The sequence below is a fragment of the Homo sapiens genome, chromosome 3 (genome assembly GCF_000001405.40).
Source record: "Homo sapiens chromosome 3, GRCh38.p14 Primary Assembly".
NCBI classification, from domain to species: domain Eukaryota; kingdom Metazoa; phylum Chordata; class Mammalia; order Primates; family Hominidae; genus Homo; species Homo sapiens.
Window position 1 is genome coordinate 60,951,075 of NC_000003.12, and position 19,761 is coordinate 60,970,835.

Below are 19,761 nucleotides of genomic sequence, written 5' to 3' on the forward strand. Positions count from 1 at the left end.
ACACATTCCTGATACACAGGAGATTCTGTTTTTGTTTTTTGCTTATCTGTGGCTTTTATATTTTCTACCATAGTATGTACTGTTTTATCATAAGAAAAAAATACTGGATACAAGAAAAAGGGTCTTTTGTATTCTTCAAGAGAAATCTAGAGGCTGTGAGTTGGAGTCTCAAATCATCCAAGGAACAAAAGCACAGGCAAAGAAGACATGCCAATAATAAAATTCTTAGAGCTGCTTAACATTATTAATATTTTCATTCCCTTCAACAGAAACTGTTTACAGCTATTAGTATTACTGTTTTTCGAGTCATGGAACACTTAAGATCTACTATGGTGTCAGGTGCTACTTAAGGCACCAAGTATCCAAACAATAAGGCAGCCCATGACCAAAAGGAACCGTAACAAGCAAACGAAGAGGAAAAACCTAGCAGGGTAAAACACACTGCCTAACATTGCTCAGCTGGTTAATGGTGAAGCCAGGACTGGAATGCAGGTCTCTTGACACCTAACGACCTTCATCACCCTATCATATGCTTAACCCACTTACCATTTAGAAGAAAGAAGTGCAGCTTGCTACCAGCACAACGCTCTCGGAGCAAACGGGAAATGGGTTAAGCATTAATATCTGGCTAAAAGATGTAAGAAAAACTCTGGTGAGAGTATTTAAGGAGAATGATCTAGATGGGGGTCAAAAAACATCAGAGACAGACCTTGTTCTTCATTAACTAGTATTTATAGTTATAGCAGGATTGTTTTCCCTAAATAAAGGGAAAGGTCTCTTTGAGTGGGGCAGAAAGGATTCCACTTTTTGGCTGGGTGCAGTGGCTGATGCCTGGAGTCCCAGCACTTTGGGAGGCCAAGGCGAGTGGATCACCTGAGGTCAGGAGTTCAAGACCAGCCTGGTTAACATGGTGAAACCCCATCTCTACTAAAAATACAAAAATTAGCTGGGCATGGTGGCGGGCACCTGTAATCCCAGCTACTCGGGAGGCTGAGGCAGGAGAATTGCTTAAACCTGGGAGGCAGAGGTTGGTGAGCTGAGATCATGCCATTGCACTCCAGCCTGGGAGACAAGAGCAAAACTCCGTCCTCCCCACCCCCCCCCCAAAAAAAAAAAAGAGATTCCACTTTTTATCTATCTATACCACACCGAATCAGTCGATCAATCCACTGACCACAGATTGTAATCTCGGCCAACCACTATAGTGGGGAAAGAAAACATAGCAGTGCAATCAGCTGTTGGATACCACAGGCAACTTGACAAGTCAGTGACAACTTGGCCTATTTATTCATCTTTTAACCGTTTGTTCTGGTGTCTGTGTAGTCACAATCAAAGAATAGTCCCTAGGAATCCATGGAGTTTCATTGAAATGGAGTTAGGGCTTTGGATCATATGCAGAATCTCAGTACTATTCCAGGAGAAGGGCAGCCACATTGCCTCTGAATGGCCAAAACATAGGGTAGTGAAGAGTGGGAGAATATGCCAGCCCGAAATATGCCACTTTAGCCTAAGGATTATGTGGAGCTAAAGGCACATTAAAATACAAAACAAAACCCAGCAGGTGCAAGAAGTGTTCTCTAACCCTCCCCTTTTTCTTCCTGAAAACATGAAACAAAACCCCCATATAGAAGACGTCCAGCTATACCAGAAGGAAAGTCTCATTCTTATCATCAAGGATGGGAAAATGAGACTAGGAAAAGTCTGTACAAACAGATCTTGTTAAAATAATTCTTATCTTCCTTTAGCCTTTCCACACAGTTGAGTTACTTTTCCACAACTGCCTCTCTTTGTTCAACCTAATATAAAACCATCTAGGTTTTGCCACTTCTTTGAGTCTTCATTTCCTTATGAGGTATCTCATGTCACATAAAACTTATATTAAATAAATGTGTGTGCTTTTCTCCCATTAATCTATCTTATATTCATTTAAGTCTTAGGCCCAGCTGAAAAGAAAACCCTAAAAGAGTGTACAATTTTGCCTCCTCTACAGTATCCATCTTGAAAGCTGAAAGTTCACTCTCAATATGCCTTAAGAATAAGAACAAGTGGGGGCATGTTTTTTAGCCATAGTTATTCGTAACCCAAACAAACAAGTAAAGGATAATATAAGTGCCAAAAATATAAATGTTGTCTGGATTCACACATATCTTATTTGAGTGACTGTCATTTTATACTGTCGTAATCTGTTTGCATGTCTGTCTTTCCACTAAACTATATGCTCCCTAAACGCAAGGACGATTTCCTTTCATCTTTGCTAAGAATGTCCAAGCCTTCCTCCTTCCAAGGCTCGAACTGGATTCCAACTATAAAAGTCTATAAAATATGACAGCTATTTGGACCGAAATCCTTCATTCCAAACTATCCTACTTAAAAAAAAAAGTCAACTTTTTAACATTTCCAAAATATCCTGAAGGGAGGGAAAAATCACACATTAAATTCTGTCAAGTAACATTTACCTCCTCAAGCCCTGACTAATCGGAAATGACTGGACTTGGCAGCTCCTTTTATCACGTGGTCTATCAGCTAAATTTAGCTCCTGTTGTGCCAATTGAAAAATGCCAACATCCCTTCCCATCTCATACAACATCCCAACCCGCCAATGACTCTAGGGTCTCTCTGGCAATCTGGTGTGACCACTCCTCATCAGATCAAAATATAAATTACAAACCAAACTTAAAGTGTCCAAGTAGCCCCATCCAGAAGAGCAATGATGAAGTTAGAAGAGACGAAGACGAGAAGGGTGCCAGATTCATTACTATTGATTCCCTGCTGGTCTTTCAATGTCACGGAAAGATGTCCATTATAGTTCTATGAAGAGCATTTGGCTCAGTTTAAACTCTTTTGTTTTCAGTTCCTTTAAAAACAAAAATCAACCACGAAGGATAAACAACTAGAAATTAATGGAGCCCAAAGGGTTTCTGCAGAATGAGAAGCCTTCATCACTGCACCCTAATTATGTAAATCTGCTCCTGCAGAGTCCAGTACATTTATTTATTAAGTCTCACCACTGCCATCCTGGTAACCCAGAGAAGAAGCCAATCTATAATGACTCAAGCCACATTTCAAAATAGACTCCAAAGGACACATGATGTCATTTGCTAAAATGACTCAATCCAGATGGAAAGCATTCTGACCTATACATAATTGATTGACCTTTGCTATGCTTTCCCCAGTTATTTATATACTATCATATGCATGAATGTATATCAGTGGTATTTACACTTGGCAGCTACTTTTAAGAACACATTATTCAATTGGGATTTGAAGCTTTTTACGACCATTTCCTGACCAAACATTCATAAATGACGAACAAGGAAAGATGTTATCTTAAAAATAATGTTTAATAGGCTCTGGAGAGTTTAGAGAAGCTTTGCTACTCTAGTTATTTTAAATTACAGGGGACAAGATCTATGTACATAAAGCTGAGTTCAAACCCTGAAACTGAGGATACCAAAGGACATTTTATTTACTTTCCAGTTTGGAGCTCAATAATGATAGTAAAATATGCTGTACAGAAGGCATGGAATGTTTTAGATACATGTGAGAAGAGCATCAACTGTGGTGAAGGTAGTTAGAGACAATAACAAATTATCAGAATCTAACCATGGATTTCATTTTCCAAAAGAGGTTAGCTGCAAATTGGATAATACCCAGATAATCAAGATAGTTTCAAGATGATCATAGAAGGGGAGGCAGATAGATTAGGGAAGGCAAATATGAAGCAAGCATGTCTTTACTCCCATTAGGAATACCCAAGGCAGACATCCATAACTGATTACTGAATTCTTAACCACAGAGCCCTCACTTGGCTCAAAATACTTTTCCAATAGTACTCCAGGCAAACACCATCAACCAAACAGACTTGTCCTAATAACATAAACAGAGAAAGTTGTATCTTATTTACTGATCAAATTAATTCTATTTATTGTTACCATATACTCCAAGATTCAATCTAAAACTAAACAGGTTTTTAAATTCAAAATTTAAAGTCACATCTCTGAATCCTAAGAAAACGTTAAGTCAAATCTAGTAGTTTTCCATACTTCATGGTAGGCTAGAATGACCCTTAATGTAAATGAAAAGCAAGCAGGAAAGCTAAACAGGAGAAGATGAAAATGCTTATATGTTCACATAGGAATATTATATAGCAGTGAAAAGGAAGGAACTACGGCCACATGCAACCACAGGAATAAATCTTAGAAACAGAAATCCAAGTGGAAATAGCACATGGAGAAGACTACATACAGCAGTGCTTTCCAAGTAGTGTGCCTCAGTAAGTGGGTTACAAGTGTTCCCAATCCCCTTAGTTCTGGGGTGAATAGTACCTGGAGTAGCCAAAGTCTTGTGTCAAGCCAGAGCATTTATATCAGGAGGTTCTAGAATATTTTCAAGTTCTATGTATGCCATGATGGAAGAAGTTAGGAAGCACTGACATACAATAATTCTTTCCAGAGATTAAACCATTATAAAACCATTTTATAATACTTAAAAACTAAAATGTATCTGCTTAGGCATATATATACATATATATATATATATATATATATATATATATATATACACACACACACATATATACATGTGACAAATTTATTTCAAAATGATAAAAGAAAAGCAAGGAAAACATGAATGGATACTTCATCCAGTACATCCATTCATTCAGTATAATGGTTACTGTTGGAAACAATAGGCAGGAGATGAGTTAGGTACAAAAACACTTCAGTAGATGGTAATGTTACAGTTCTTAAGGTAGATGGTGGTTCATGGGTGTTTAGTTTATTATACTCCAAGCATATTATTTTATAAATACAACATGTTATATACTACTTTTCTCAAAACATCAAGGTTAAGAAGGAAGGAAACTTTTTAGCTGATTCTGAGTCAATTTTTCACAGTTGAATCTCAATATGGCAATTCAAGAATAGATACAACTACTTTTGGAAGACTGAAACTCAGAGGTCAAGATTTTGTCCTCATGCAACTAGAATAGTCCAAAGGTTTCTAACAGTCAACTCATGTACCCTATTTAATGATTACAAGATTTTGTTCTAATCCAAATAGAGTATTAATGAAAAATTGTTGTAAACCTAAAGTTACATTTCCCTACTGAAACAAAAACATCACAAAACCCATATGTAAGCCTCTTAGTTAAGATCCATTTAGTTATAAAAAACAAAACCCAACCTGAAGTGTTCAAGTAAAAGGATTCTGGATGAGGAATTAGAGGTATCCTACAGCACATAGGATAGCAAGTACAGCCAGGCCTTATGAAGAACCAGAGCCAGGGTGTAGGCAGCCTTTCAGATCCGAGGTTGAAACATTCTCTCTCTCTTGGGCTGCAGGTTCTTGTGTCTCTACTTCTTTCTGGAACCTTTACTTTATTGTCCCTACCTTTAGCTGTGCTTTTTCTGCTTTGGCATCGACATGACCAAATATTTGTATCTCTTGTGATTTAAGTTTAAACCAAGTAGTGCCCTGAAGACAATTTCAAAATGCCCAGAGGGGAAAAAGAATCTAATTAACCCAACCAAGGTCAAAATCTGTCTACACCGGGTTTAATCAGACACAGCTGTACATAAGGAGTTACCAATTCCAACAACTACAGGGGCCAGGCAGGTAATTAAAAGTATGATGCTGACCAGGTGTAAAACCAGAAGCTGGAAGAAAAGGGTCTTACAACAAAGAGAACTCATGCTGCCTCTCCACTTTGGATATGTAATAATAGAAATCCAGATTTTCATTGAAATTTCTTGATTTTTAAAATACATCTGTATACGTTAGGCCACAGGCTTCTACTGTCAGCGTCCTACAAAAAATGAATTGTGAATATTTCAGTTTCGGGGGGTCACACTGGGCAAACCTGACTTAGATACCAGCCCTTTGGGTAGAAGAGCAGGTCTCACAGAAGGGCTCATGGTCAGGCAGTACTGCAACAAAGCCTGGATTATGCACTACTTTACACACCCTCCCCATGAAATACACACATCAGCTAAACTTCTAAAAATATCTTGTTCAAAATCAGATACTAAGCCGGGCAGAGATAATCATCATGTAGCTTTGTATGGGTTCATAGTAAAAAGCATTAAAAAACAAAGAAATCACACAAAAGCAAACTAGAGCCAGAAAAACACAGCACCATCTTCTTCTTTTCTTTCTTTCTTTTTTTTTTTTTTTTTTTTTTGAGACAGAATCTCACTTTGTTGCTCAGGCTGGAGTGCAGTGGCGCGATCTCAGCTCACTGCAACCTCCGCCTCCCGGGTTCAAGCGATTCTCCTGCCTCAGCCTCCTGAGTAGCTGGGATTACAGGCACGTGCCACCACACCTGGCTAATTTATTGTAGTTTTAGTAGAGATGGGGTTTCACCGTGTTAGCCACGATGGTCTTGATCTCCTGACCTTGTGATCCACCCGCCTTGGCCTCCCAAAGTGCTGGGATTACAGGCGTGAGCCATGGCGCCGGGCCCATCTTCTTTTCTGTCCACAGCCAAAACATCCTGCCACAAAAGGACCATTTGTTACAAAACAACTGCATATTCTTTTTTCAGTTAACTGAAGGTAACACAGGCCCTCCTGTGTCAATTTCTTCACCATACAAAACTGGGAGACACAGAAGTCATAGCTTAAGTAAGTGTCACTTCCTCTCGGAAGCCCAGCCTGAGTCCCTGATCTTGTATAAGGCAAATGTCCCTTTACAAAGCACCTGTTTCCCTTGCTGTGGTGCCTAACCACAGCACAACTGATATTGTATATGCACAACTGTCTATTTATCTCTTCCACATAGGTGAGCTTCTGGAAAGCACAGATACTGTCTAATCCTCCTTCTCTGTTCTTAACACCTGTTTGTTAAATAAATACATTCTGTAGTCAGACATGTCAAAAATTTTATTTTTTAATTTTTAGCAGCTAATTTTAAAAATGCTGAATTTAGACTAGATTCCTCCTTATTCTTTTGTACGCACTTAAAAATTTTCAACAAAACACTTAAAATCTTTTACTCAGAAAAGAACTACACATATCACTCTGAATTACTACAGACTCAATATCACATTGTTGTGGGGCTTTCAAGAATCTGTGCTTATATTTAAGCTAAAAATCCTTCACAGCACCTCCTGTCAGTTTGTAGATACGCATAGATTTTCTCAATATACCTGTATTGATATAGATATAAATATACCTGGTATAGAATAAGGCACGGTAAAATTCTCTACCTAGACATAAAACCCATATATTTAAACTTATGAGAAATCTGGAGAAGTACAGTATATACATGTCCAGCAAGACTTATGTTCCATTTTAAAGAAATGAGCCTTGGCAAATTTCCCTAGCACTGAGAACTGTTTAGCAAGAATTAATTTTTAAATGAAATAAGCTAAAAATAAAATAGATGTAGTATTATTTATACTTAAGTCTTGTTCTTTAGCAATTATTAAAGGTTACACTGGTATGTTTTATCATTGGTAACTGGACTCAAGTTTGACCAAATGTTTCTCTTTACCCATGAAAAATAGTTGCAATGTTCCAATTTTGACTGCCATTCCAGGTCTTTGGTGGCCCTTCATCAAGTGCAATTTGGTAGCCTAAATGATATGGGAGGGACAGAGCATAATTTCATGGCAGTAAGTATAGCTGAGACAGAAAGGTTAAACAAGGTCCATGTCTTTGGACACTTGACCCTAAGTTATGACAGATTAACTTTAAAAGACAATGTTTTATCTTGAACAGAGGGGAGTTTTGTCTTCTCCTTCCAGCTAGGTGGAAGTATTTGGCAAATGTCTTCTTTGGAAAGAATTATTTAGCAATGGAATTATAATCGGAATTATTTAGCAATGGAATTATAATCAATGTAGTAAGGACAGAAAAAGCAAACTAAGGACAAAGGAATAAATGAAGAAATGACAGCCACACTTGCCAAGGTGAATTCCATTCAGGGAATTTGCCAAATGAAAAGGATATTAACATTAACTTAAGCAGGTTTCCTTACTTCAGGAATTGTCTGTCTTTAATATTCATAATGGTCCTCATGAATTTTCCAAAGGATAGAGTATGCAGCATTTATGATTATTTAAAGGCTTTATAAATGTAACTGCTCTTGGGCATAGTGGTGCTATCAGGCAGACCTAGGTTGAAATTCTGGCTCTGTCAGCGGCTGTGATTTCATGTGCTAATTTCTTAACTCTTATGAGCCTCAATTACCTTGTCTGAAAAATCAGCCCTTTCATTTATATTTCAACAGAACTTCTGCCCTTGATGTCCCTTTGAAGTTATTTCCCATAATTAGTCACAGATCATAGCATCATCAGCTGCAATCATCTTATCTCCATTCTATTAACAAATTTACATACATTCTTTTGTATGTTCAACAAACAGCATATGCCAAGCTGAGCTGGCAACTGGACAAAAACATATTATATGTGGTTTCTGAACACCCAGAGCTCACTATCTTGTTGGGGAGAAAGGCAGTGAGGAAATAGTAATGCAGAGCAGTGACAGGTGCCCATAAGGGGTTCGCCTAGTTTGGAGAGGAGAAAACATTTGAGTTGAAATCTGAAGAGAGAAAATGAAGCCACTGGAGATGAAGAAAACAAACTTCCATGGGGCTGAGGGAACAAGAATGTGCAAATGCTCTGTGGGAGGCAGAAAGAAAGAGATTTTGAGGAGGAAAAAGGGCAGTGTAGTTTGCGTGCAAAAACCAGGTGAGCAAGATGGGAGAATCAGGAGAGGCTTTTTCTTTTTTTTTTTTTTTTTAATGTCAACACTGTTTGGTGTTTATTTGGTGAGCCTGAGGGCAATTTTCATTCTCATTTCTTTTTCTTATTGATTATTTCCAACCCTTTCAACAGTGAACATGCGTTGCTTTTGCAATTACAACAACAACAAGAATCCCTATAGACAAAGCAAAAAATATATACTTTGTAATGTTTTTAAAAAACAAAGATTAAACTACACTAAAATATAAGGTGATTATCTCTGAATGATAAGTTTTGGGGCAGTTTTTTTTTTACCCTCATCACTGCTTTCCGAATTCCAAAGGTAAAAAGATACTACTTGAATAAGAAGAAAAATAAAGAGAGTTGTGTTTCAAGCTTTCCCTCTTCCCTTCTTCCCACCCTATCTAACACTTGGAATATCCCATGAGGGTCTCCAACGTCAGCAGGAACTAAGAGCCAAGAGTCGACTGAGAGATGACTTTCTTTCTCTTTCTTTTTTGTTGTGTGGTGAAGAAAGAAATCATAATCTGACGTCTAAAGAGCACTTCACTGTTGCTCTTGGTTGGACTCTAAATCACATTGGGAAAATTAAAACTACAATGAGAAACATCTTACACCAGTCATGATGACTATTATTTTTTCAATTTTATTTTTATTACACTTTAAGTTCTAGGGTACATGTGCACAACGTGCAGGTTTGTTACATATGTATACATGTGCCATGTTAGTGTGCTGCACCCATTAACTCATCATTTACATTAGGTATATTTCCTAATGCTATCCGTCCCTCCTCCCCCCACCCCACAACAGGCCCCGGTGTGTGGCCCCGGTGTGTGATGTTCTCCATCCTGTGTCTATGTGTTCTCATTGTTCAATTCCCACCTATGAGTGAGAACATGCAGTGTTTGGTTTTCTGTCCTTGCAATAGTTTGCTCAGAATGGTTTCCAGCTTCATCCATGTCCCTACAAAGGACATGAACTCATCCATTTTTATGGCTGCATAGTATTCCATGTTGTATATGTGCCACATTTTCTTAATCCAGTCTATCATTGTTGGACATTTGGGTTGGTTCCAAGTCTTTGCTATTGTAAATAGTGCCACAATAAACACACGTGTGCATGTGTCTTTATAGCAGCATGATTTATAATCCTTTTGGTAAACACCCAGTAATGGGATGGCTGGGTCAAAAGGTATTTCTAGTTCTAGATCCTTGAAGAATCGCCACACTGTCTTCCACAATGGTTGAACTAGTTTACAGTCCCACCAACAGTGTAAAAGTTTTCCTATTACTCCACATCCTCTCCAGCACCTGTTGTTTCCTGATTTTTTAATGATTGCCATTCTAAATGGTGTGAGATGGTATCTCATTGTGGTTTTGATTTGCATTTCTCTGACGGCCAGTGATGATGAGCATGTTTTCCTGTGTCTATTGGCTCCATAAATGTCTTCTTTTGAGAAGTGTCTGTTCATATCCTTCGTTCACTTTTTGATGGGGTTGTTTGTTTTTTTCTTGTAAATTTAAGTTCTTTGTAGATTCTGGATATTAGCCCTTTGTCAGATGCGTACATTGTAAAAACTTTATCCCATTCTGTAGGTTGCCTGTTCACTCTGATGGTAGTTTCTTTTGCTGTGCAGAAACTCTTTAGTTTAATTAGATCCCATTTGTCAATTTTGGCTTTTGTTGCCATTGCTTTTGGTGTTTTAGTCATAAAGCCCTTACCCATGCCTATATCCTGAATGGTATTGCCTAGGTTTTCTTCTAGGGTTTTATGGTTTTAGGTCTAACATTTAAGTCTTTAATCCACCTTGAATTAATTTTTGTATAGCGTGTAAGGAAGGGATCCAGTTTCAGCTTTCTACATATGGCTAGCCAGTTTTCCCAGCACCACTTATTAAATAGGAAATCCTTTCCCCATTTCTTGTGTTTGTCAGGTTTGTCAAAGATCAGATTGTTGTCGATGTGTGGTATTATTTCTGAGGGCTCTGTTCTGTTCCATTGGCCTATCTCTCTGTTTTTGTACCAGTACCATGCTGTTTTGGTTACTGTAGCCTTGTAGTATAGTTTGAAGTCAAGTAGCGTGATGCCTCTAGCTTTGTTCTTTTGGCTTAGGATTGACTTGGCAATGTGGGCTCTTTTTTGCTTCCATGTGAACTTTAAGGTAGTTTTTTCCAATTCTGTGAAGGAAGTCATTGGTAGCTTGATGGGGATGGCGTTGAATCTATAAATTGCCTTGGGCAGTATGGCCATTTTCACGATATTGATTCTTCCTACCCATGAGCGTGGAATGTTCTTCCATTTGTTTGTATCCTCTTTTATTTCATTGAGCAGTGGTTTGTAGTTCTCCTTGAAGAGGTCCTTCCCATCTCTTGTAAATTGGATTCCTAGGTATTTTATTCTCTTTGAAGCAATTGTGAATGGGAGTTCACTCATGATTTGGCTCTCTGTTTGTCTGTTATTGGTGTATAAGAATGCTTGTGATTTTTTGCACACTGATTTTGTATCCTGAGACTTTGCTGAAGTTGCTTATCAGCTTAAGGAGATTTTGGGCTGAGATGATGGGGATTTCTAAATGTACAGTCATGTCATCTGCAAACAGGGACAATTTGACTTCCTCTTTTCCTAATTCAATACACTTTATTTCTTTCTCTTGCCTGATTGCCCTGGCCAGAATTTCCAACACTATGTTGAATAGGAGTGGTGAAAGAGGGCATCTCTGTCTTGTGCCAGTTTTCAAAGTGAATGCTTCCAGTTTTGCCAATTCAGTATGATATTGGCTGTGGGTTTGTCATAGATAGCTTGCATTATTTTCAGACACGTCCCATCACTACCTAGTTTATTGGGAGTTTTTAGCATGAAGCATTGTTGAATTTTGTCAAAGGCCTTTTCTGCATCTACTGAGATAATCATGTGGTTTTTGTCTTTGGTTCTGTTTATATGATGGATTATGTTTATTGATTTGCGTATGTGAACCAGCCTTGCATCCCAGGGATGAAGCCAACTTGATCGTGGTGGATAAGCTTTTTGATGTCCTGCTGGATTTGTTTTGCCAGTATTTTATTGAGGATTTTTGCATCGATGTTCATCAGGGATATTGGTCTAAAATTCTCTTATTTGGTTGTCTCACTGCCAGGCTTTGATATCAGGACAATGCTGGCCGCATAAAATGAGTTAGGGAGGATTTCCTCTTTTTCTCTTGATTGGAATGGTTTCAGAAGGAATGGTACCCGCTCCTCTTTGTACCTCCGGTAGAATTCGGCTGTGAATCCATCTGGTCCTGGACTTTTTTTGGTTGCTAGGCTATTAATTATTGCCTCAATTTCAGAGCCTGTTATTGGTCTATTAAGGGATTCAACTTCGTCCTGGTTTAGTCTTGGGAGAGTGTATGTGTCCGGGAATTTATCCATTTCTTCTAGATTTTCTAGTTTATTTGCATAGAGGTGTTTATAGTATTCTCTGGTGGTAGTTTATATTTCTGTGGGATCAGTGGTGATATCCCCTTTATCATTTTTTATTGCATCTATTTGATTCTTCTCTCTTTTCTTCTTTATTAGTCTTGCTAGTGGTCTATCAATTTTGTTGATCTTTTCAAAAAACCAGCTCCTGGATTCACTGATTTTTTGAAGGGTTTTTTGTGTCTCTATCTCCTTCAGTTCTGCTCTGATCTTAGTTACTTCTTGCCTTCTGCTAGCCTTTGAATGTGTTTGCTCTTGCTTGTCTAGTTCTTTTAATTGTGATGTTAGGGTGTCAATTTTAGATCTTTCCTGCTTTCTCCTGTGGGCATTTAGTGCTATAAATTTCCCTCTACACACTGCTTTAAATATGTCCCAGAGATTCTGGTATGTTGTGTCTTTGTTCTTATTGGTTTCAAAGAACATCTTTTTTTCTGCCTTCATTTGGTTATGTGCCCAGTAGTCATTCAGGAGCAGGTTGTTCAGTTTCCATGCATTTGAGCGGTTTTTGAATGAGTTTCTTAATCCTCAGTTCTTGTTTGATTGCACTGTGGTCTGAGAGACAGTTTATTATAATTTCTATTCTTTTACATTTGCAAAGGAGTGCTTTACTTCCGACTATGTGGTCAGTTTTGGAATAAGTGCGATGTGGTGCTGAGAAGAATGTATCTTCTGTTGATTTGGGGTGGAGAGTTCTGTAGATGTCTATTAGGTCCACCTGCTGCAGAGCTGAGTTCAATTCCTGGATATCATTGTTAACTTTCTGTCTCATTGATCTGTCTAATGTTGCCAGTGGAGTGTTAAAGTCTCCCATTATTATCGTGTGGGAGTCTAAGTCTCTTTGTAGGTCTCTAAGGGCTTGCTTTATGAATCTGGGTGCTCCTGTATTGGGTGCATATATATTTAGGATAGTTAGCTCTTCTTGTTGAATTGATCCCTTTACCATTATGTAATGGCCTTCTTTGTCTCTTTTCATCTTTGTTGGTTTAAAGTCTGTTTTGTTAGAGACTAGGATTGCAACCCCTGCTTGTTTTTTTTTTTCCATTTGCTTGGTAGATCTTCCTCCATCCCTTTAGTTTGAGCCTATGTGTGTCTCTGCAGGTGAGATGGGTCTCCTGAATACAGCACACTGATGGGTCTTGACTCTTTATCCAATTTGCCAGTCTGTGTCTTTTAATTGGAGCATTTAGTCCATTTACATTTAAGGTTAATATTATTATGTGTGAATTTGATCCTGTCATTTTGATGTTAGCTGGTTATTTCGCCCATTAGTTGGTGCAGTTTCTTCCTAGCATCAATGGTGTTTACAATTTGGCATGTTTTTGCAGTGGCTGTTACTGGTTGTTCCTTTCCATGTTTAATGCTTCCTTCAGGAGCTCTTGTAAGGCAGGCCTGGTGGTGACAAAGTCTCTCAGCATTTGCTTGTCTGTAAAGGATTTTATTTCTCCTTCACTTCTGAAGCTTAGTTTGGCTGGATATGAAATTCTGGGTTGAAAATTCTTGTCTTTAAGAATGTTGAATTGGCCCCCATTCTCTTCTGGCTTGTAGAGTTTCTGCCAAGAGATCTGTTGTTAGTCTGATGGGCTTCCCTTTGTGGGTAACCTGACCTTTCTCTCTGGCTGCTCTTAACATTTTTTCCTTCATTTCAACTTTGGTGAATCTGACAATTATGTGTCTTGGAGTTGCTCTTCTTGAGGAGTATCTTTGTGGTTGTCTCTGTATTTCCTGAATTTGAATGTTGGCCTGCCTTGCTAGGTTTGGGAAGTTCTCCTGGATAATATCCTGCAGAGTGTTTTCCAACTTGGTTCCATTCTCCTCATCACTTTCAGGTACACCAAGCAGACGTAGATTTGGTCTTTTCACATAGTCCCATATTTCCTGGAGGCTTTGTTCATTTCTTTTTACTCTTTTTTCTCTAAACGTCTCTTCCGGCTTCATTTCATTCATTTGTTCTTCAATCACTGATATTCTTTCTTCCACTTGATCGAATTGGCTACTGAAGCTTGTGCATGCATCACGTAGTTCTCATGCCATGGTTTTCAGCTCCATCAGGTCATTTAAGTTCTTCTCTACACTGATTATTCTAGTTAGCGATTCGTCTAATCTTTTTTCAAGGTTTTTAGCTTCTTTGCGATGGGTTCGAACATCCTCCTTTAGCTTGGAGAAGTTTGTTATTCTGATCTTCTGAAGCCTTCTTCACTCAACTTGTCAAAGTCATTCTCCATCCAGCTTTGTTCCCTTGCTGGCGAGGAGCTAGGTTCCTTTGTAGGAGAAGAGGCACTCTGATTTTTAGAATTTTCAGCTTTTCTGCTCTGGTTTCTCCCCATCTTTGTGGTTTTATCTATCTTTGGTCTTTGATGATGGTGACGTACACATGGGGTTTTGGTGTGGATGTCCTTTCTGTTTGTTAGTTTTCCTTCTAACAGTCAGGACCCTGAGCTGCAGGTCTGTTGGAGTTTGCTGGAGGTCCACTCCAGACCCTGTTTGCCTGTGTATCACCAGCGGAGGCTGCAGAACAGCAAATATTGCAGAATGGCAAATGTTGCTGCCTGATCCTTCCTCTGAAAGCTTTGTCTCAGAGGGGTACCTGGCTGTGTGAGGTGTCAGTCGGCCCCTACTGGGAGGTATCTCCCAGTTAGGCTACTTGGGTCTCAGGGACCCACTTGAGGAGGCATTCTGTCCGTTCTCAGATCTCAAACTCCGTGCTGGGAGAACCACTACTCTCTTCAAAGCTGTCAGATAGGGACGTTTAAGTCTGCAGAAGTTTCTGCTGCCTTTTTTTCAGCTATGCCCTGACCCTAGAGGTGGAGTCTACAGAGGCAGGCAGGCCTCCTTGAGCTGCGGTGGGCTCCACCCATTTCGAGCTTCTAGGCCGCTTTGTTTACCCACTCAAGCCTCAGCAATTGCGGACACCCCTCCCCCAGCCTCACTGCCACCTTGTGGTTCGAACTCAGACTGCTGTGCTAGCAGAGAGTGAAGCCCCGTGGGCATGGAACCCTCCGAGCCAGGCACCAGATATTATCTCCTGGTGTGCCCTTTGCTAAGACAGTTGGAAAAGCACAGTATTAGTGTGGGAGTGTCCCGATTTTCCAGGTACCGTCTCTCACGGCTTCTCTTGACTAGGAAAGGGAATTCCCCAACCCCTTGCACTTCCCAGGTGAGGCGATGTCCCGCCCTGCTTTGGCTCATGCTCCGTGGGCTGCACCCACTGTCCGACAAGCCCCAGTGAGATGAACCGGGTACCTCAATTGGAAATGCAGAAATCACCCATCTTCTGCACTCCTCACGCTGGGAGCTGTAGAATGGCGCTGTTCCTATTCAGCCATCTTGGAACCTCCTCCCATGATGACTATAAGGGAGGCTTTTAAATGGTGGAAATGAATGGTTTCCACCAGGACAGTGGCAAGATTCAATTATCATTTTAAAAATCTCTGTCAAGCTACAGTGTGGAAAATGGATTGGAAGGAGACAATAATGGCTGCAAGGGTATCAATTAAGAGGCTATTGTAGCAAGGATGATAATTTAAACTGCAATTGGAACAGAAGATATGGTAAAATGTGACAAATCTGAGAGATATTTAGGTTGGTAATTAATTGGGTAAGAGAACTGTGGTACATTTTACACATAAAGTCCTAAGGTGCAGTATTTGATTTGGTCTATAAATTGTACTCCAAATCAGCTGATGCTTTTATAGTTAGAGAGAATTATCTCAGTAGACGTAATACTTCTCTTTCAAAAACTGTCATGGTTCTTAATCATATTCCACAATGGTCAGTATGGGGATGTTTATGCCTCATGGAATAGAGAAATCAAAAATTTAAATCTATATTTGATGTTAAATATAAATAGTATCTTCTTATAAAAATACATTACCATTACTCTTAGCTTGATATATTGTAAATTGCTTTATTCACCTCCTCAGCCATTTTTCATCAGCAGTAGTATATGTGCTCCCTGTTCCTGGCAGTGATTCACTGGATGAGAACATAAATGTATTTGTGGGAATATGTATGAACGTTGCTCTGGGAACAAAAGAAACAGTTCTGTTATACCACATTGGTGGTAATCATTCTTTCCCAAAATCATTGCTTGATCCCTTAAACAAACAAAACAATGTGAAATAACAAGCATTGCAAATACCTAAGACTTTGGTGTATTGACTGCCTATCTGTCAAATTTGACAGGAAGGATTAACCATGGTTTCAATATTTACACTTGGATTTTGAAAGACTAGATACCAAGTTGATGACTCTTTGAAAATAATATAGAAAAGTATATATAAATACATAGGTAAAAAGGATGGGACAAAAGTGTCAATGGTTACTGCTGAAATATGGTTTTGGAGTGCAAGTATAGGGGATTTCTGCTATTCATTTTATGCTTATGCAATGTTTAAGTTTTAGGAGCAGGTATCAGTTTCTAAGAAAAATCGAAAAAAGAGCAGATATGAAAAACAAGATCAATAAAATAGTTTCACTGTTTAATAATGCCAGGTTAGTGAGAGGCAACATTCATCATGGAAACTAAATGCATTACACTAGACTTTCACTATTTATAATTATTTTTCTAGGACCATGATCAGACTGGCCCACGGTATATAATCTACAAATTGACTACTGATATTGTAAGAGGGCTCAGCCATATTCAAATACCATCTATTAAAAAAATTAAATATGCTAATTCGCCACTACAATTTAAAATTCAACTGTAGGTAAATAAAAGTAAATTGTGCCAATATGCATGTGGAATTACTTGCTTCTGATCAACTAAAAAAAAATTAGTAAGAAATCTGGTGAACATCGTATTGGTAAACAAAAACAATTTTTAAAGGAAAGTGGCAAGATCCATGTCCAGTCTGATCCAAGGTGTTGCCAGAATGGCAGCCCGAGTTGAGAGCAGAAATGTGTTTCTCCTCACACCTTTCCAACTTTTAGGCTGTGGTCACTTCAAACTAAGAAGCAAATCACATCTTAGCCCATGTAGTAATGAGGTTATCCACACTAGAATGCATAAACGTCACCTTGTGGCTTGTTAAAAACACAGATTCTTGCCCATCACAAGATTATATTAAACTGACTAGGGTCTCTAATATAATGATGAATAAAAATGGAAATAATAAACACATTTATGATCTCAACAAGAAAATTGTTAATATTTCAAATTAAGTATGAAGTCTGCTGTAGGACTTTTTTTTTTTTTTTCGAGATGGAGTCTCACTCTGTCACTCAGGCTGGAGTGCAGTGGCATGATCTTGGCTCACTGCAAGCTCCTGGGGTTCAAACAATTCTCCTGCTTCAGCCTCCCGTGTAGCTGGGACTACAGGCACCTGCCACCACACCCAGCTAGTTTTTGTATTTTTATTAGAGACAGGATTTCACCATAGTGGCCAGGCTGGTCTCGAACTCCTGACCTCATGATCCACCCGCCTTGGCCTCCCAAAGTGCTGGGAATACAGGCCGCCCTGCCCGGCCCCTGCTGTAGTTTTTTAAAATAAATATTTATCTGATTAAGGAAGCTCAGCTCTATTCCCATTTTGCTGAGATTTTACCATGAATGAATGTGTTTGTCAATTTTTTCCCCTTATCTATTGAGATGATGATATGGTTTCTCAGTTTTACTCTATTAATATGGTAAGTTGCATTGACTGATTTTCAAATAATCAGCTTGTATTCCTGGAACAAACCCAACTTGATAATGATATATTATTCTTTTTATATATCACTGGATTTGATTTACCAATGTTTTGGCTAGGATTTTTTTTTCATTTATCTTCATGAAAAAAATTGAACTGTGGATTTATTTTCATTTAATACCCCTCATCTTTGGGGTCAAGGTTATGCTGGTCTAATGATGTGAGTTTACATATAACTGATATTGCTTCTTCCTTAAATGTTTGGAAGAATTTGCTGGTAAATTTAAATGGGCTCTTTTTTGTGGGAAGATTTCTAATTATGAAGCTAATTTCTGTAATAGATATAGGATAATTCAGATTCCCTAAAAATATATCAAATTTAGTTGTATTTTTAAGGAATTTAACCATTTCATTTAAATGTTCAAATTTACTGGCATAAAATCTTACTAATATCTTTTTTAGTGCTTTTTTATTTCTGATTATTATTTCAATAATTTCTGCTCTTATCTTTATTTTCTTCTACTTTCTTTGCATTTATTCTGTTTCTTTTTTAGATTCTTGATACTGATTACTAGATTACTAATTTTCAGGCTTTCTTCTTTTCTAAGAATTTAAGGCTATAAATTTCCATATAAAAACTGCTTTAGCTGCAACATCAAAGCTTGATATGTTATATCTTCATTATCAGAAATATTTTTAATTTTTGTTGTGATTACTTTCTTTGAAACATAGGGAAGAAAATATTACCTAATTTCCAAATATTGGAATTCTATCATTATCATTTTATTACTGATTTCCACCTTAATACTACTGTGAACAGAAGATAAACTCTATGGTTTAAAGCCTTTGACATTTGTTCAGAAGTGCTTATGTCTAGGTATATATTATATTTACTAAATCTTTAAAAATGTATATGCTTATTTGGTTGTTGCAGTGTTCTATACATAAGATTAAGTTTGTTACAAGTGGTGTTTGAATCTTCTATATGTTTACTGACTTTTTTGTTTGTTTTGTTTTCAGACAGGGTCTCCCTCTATTGCCCAGGCTGGAGTGCAGTGGCATGATCACAGCTCACTGCAACCTCTGCCTCCCAGGCTCAAGTGATCCTCCCACCTCAGCCTTCTGAATTTTTTGGTTTTGTAGAGATGGGGTTTCGCCATGTTTTCCAGGCTGGTCTTAAACTCCTACACTGAAGCGATCTGCCTGCCTCGGCCTCCCAAAGTGTTGGGATTACAGGTGTGAGCTACCAGGCCCAGCCGTTTACTGACATTTTGTCTTCATATTCTATTAACTACCTGAAGAGGTATGGTAAAATCCCAACTAAGGCTGAAGATTTGTATATTTCTCTTTTTCAGTGCTGTTATTTGCTTTCAAATATTTTGAGACCATGCTATATGTACCTATACATATAGCTATGTCTGCTTCTTTTGGAATACTGTGTGTTTGCACAATGTTTCTCTTTTTACAACTTTGAATCTTTATATGGATTTATATTTAGACTGTACCTCACATAGTTAGCTTATAGTTGTCTTGTTTTAATAATCCAGTCTAATAATCTGTTTTTAAATAGAAGTATTTAGTGTTTTGTATTAATATAATTAAGGTTATATTTATATTCTTATCACTATCTTAATATATTCTTTATTTGTCTCACAGTTTTCTGTTCCTAAATTCTCTTTTTGTCTTCAATTAATCAAATATATTTTATATTATCCATTTTCCCCCTCTATCAGCTTGGTAACTGTACATTCTTTAAGTGGTTACCCTGGAAATGAAAATATGATTTCTTGACTTATTAGAATCTACCATAATTGATACTTTTATCCTGTCTGGATAAGGATTTCACATTATTTTAACTTCATTTAATCCACTCTCATTCTACCTGTTATTGTTTGTTGCCTTTATTTTAATTCCACAAATATTTTATTTTTCAAGCTTTTTATTATGGATAATTCCCAACATATACAAAA

The 19,761-nt window shown here is 38.0% G+C and overlaps 1 protein-coding gene across 8 annotated transcripts in view, besides 1 other annotated feature; it reads right to left on the reverse strand.

Annotated features, from left to right (window-relative positions):
* The window catches only part of FHIT (fragile histidine triad diadenosine triphosphatase), a 1,504,176-nt gene that overhangs the window by 1,203,798 nt on the left and 280,617 nt on the right, over nucleotides 1–19,761 (reverse strand). The gene's annotated exons all lie outside the window — the stretch shown is intronic.
* Nucleotides 2,182–3,381: an enhancer, noted in NCBI's record as "MED14-independent group 3 enhancer chr3:60938928-60940127 (GRCh37/hg19 assembly coordinates)". NCBI's record gives its function as "activates an origin of replication core promoter dependent on BRD2, BRD4, P300/CBP and CDK7 cofactors, and independent of MED14, by STARR-seq in HCT116 cells {active_cell/tissue: HCT116}" and the evidence as "EXISTENCE:reporter gene assay evidence [ECO:0000049][PMID:35650434]".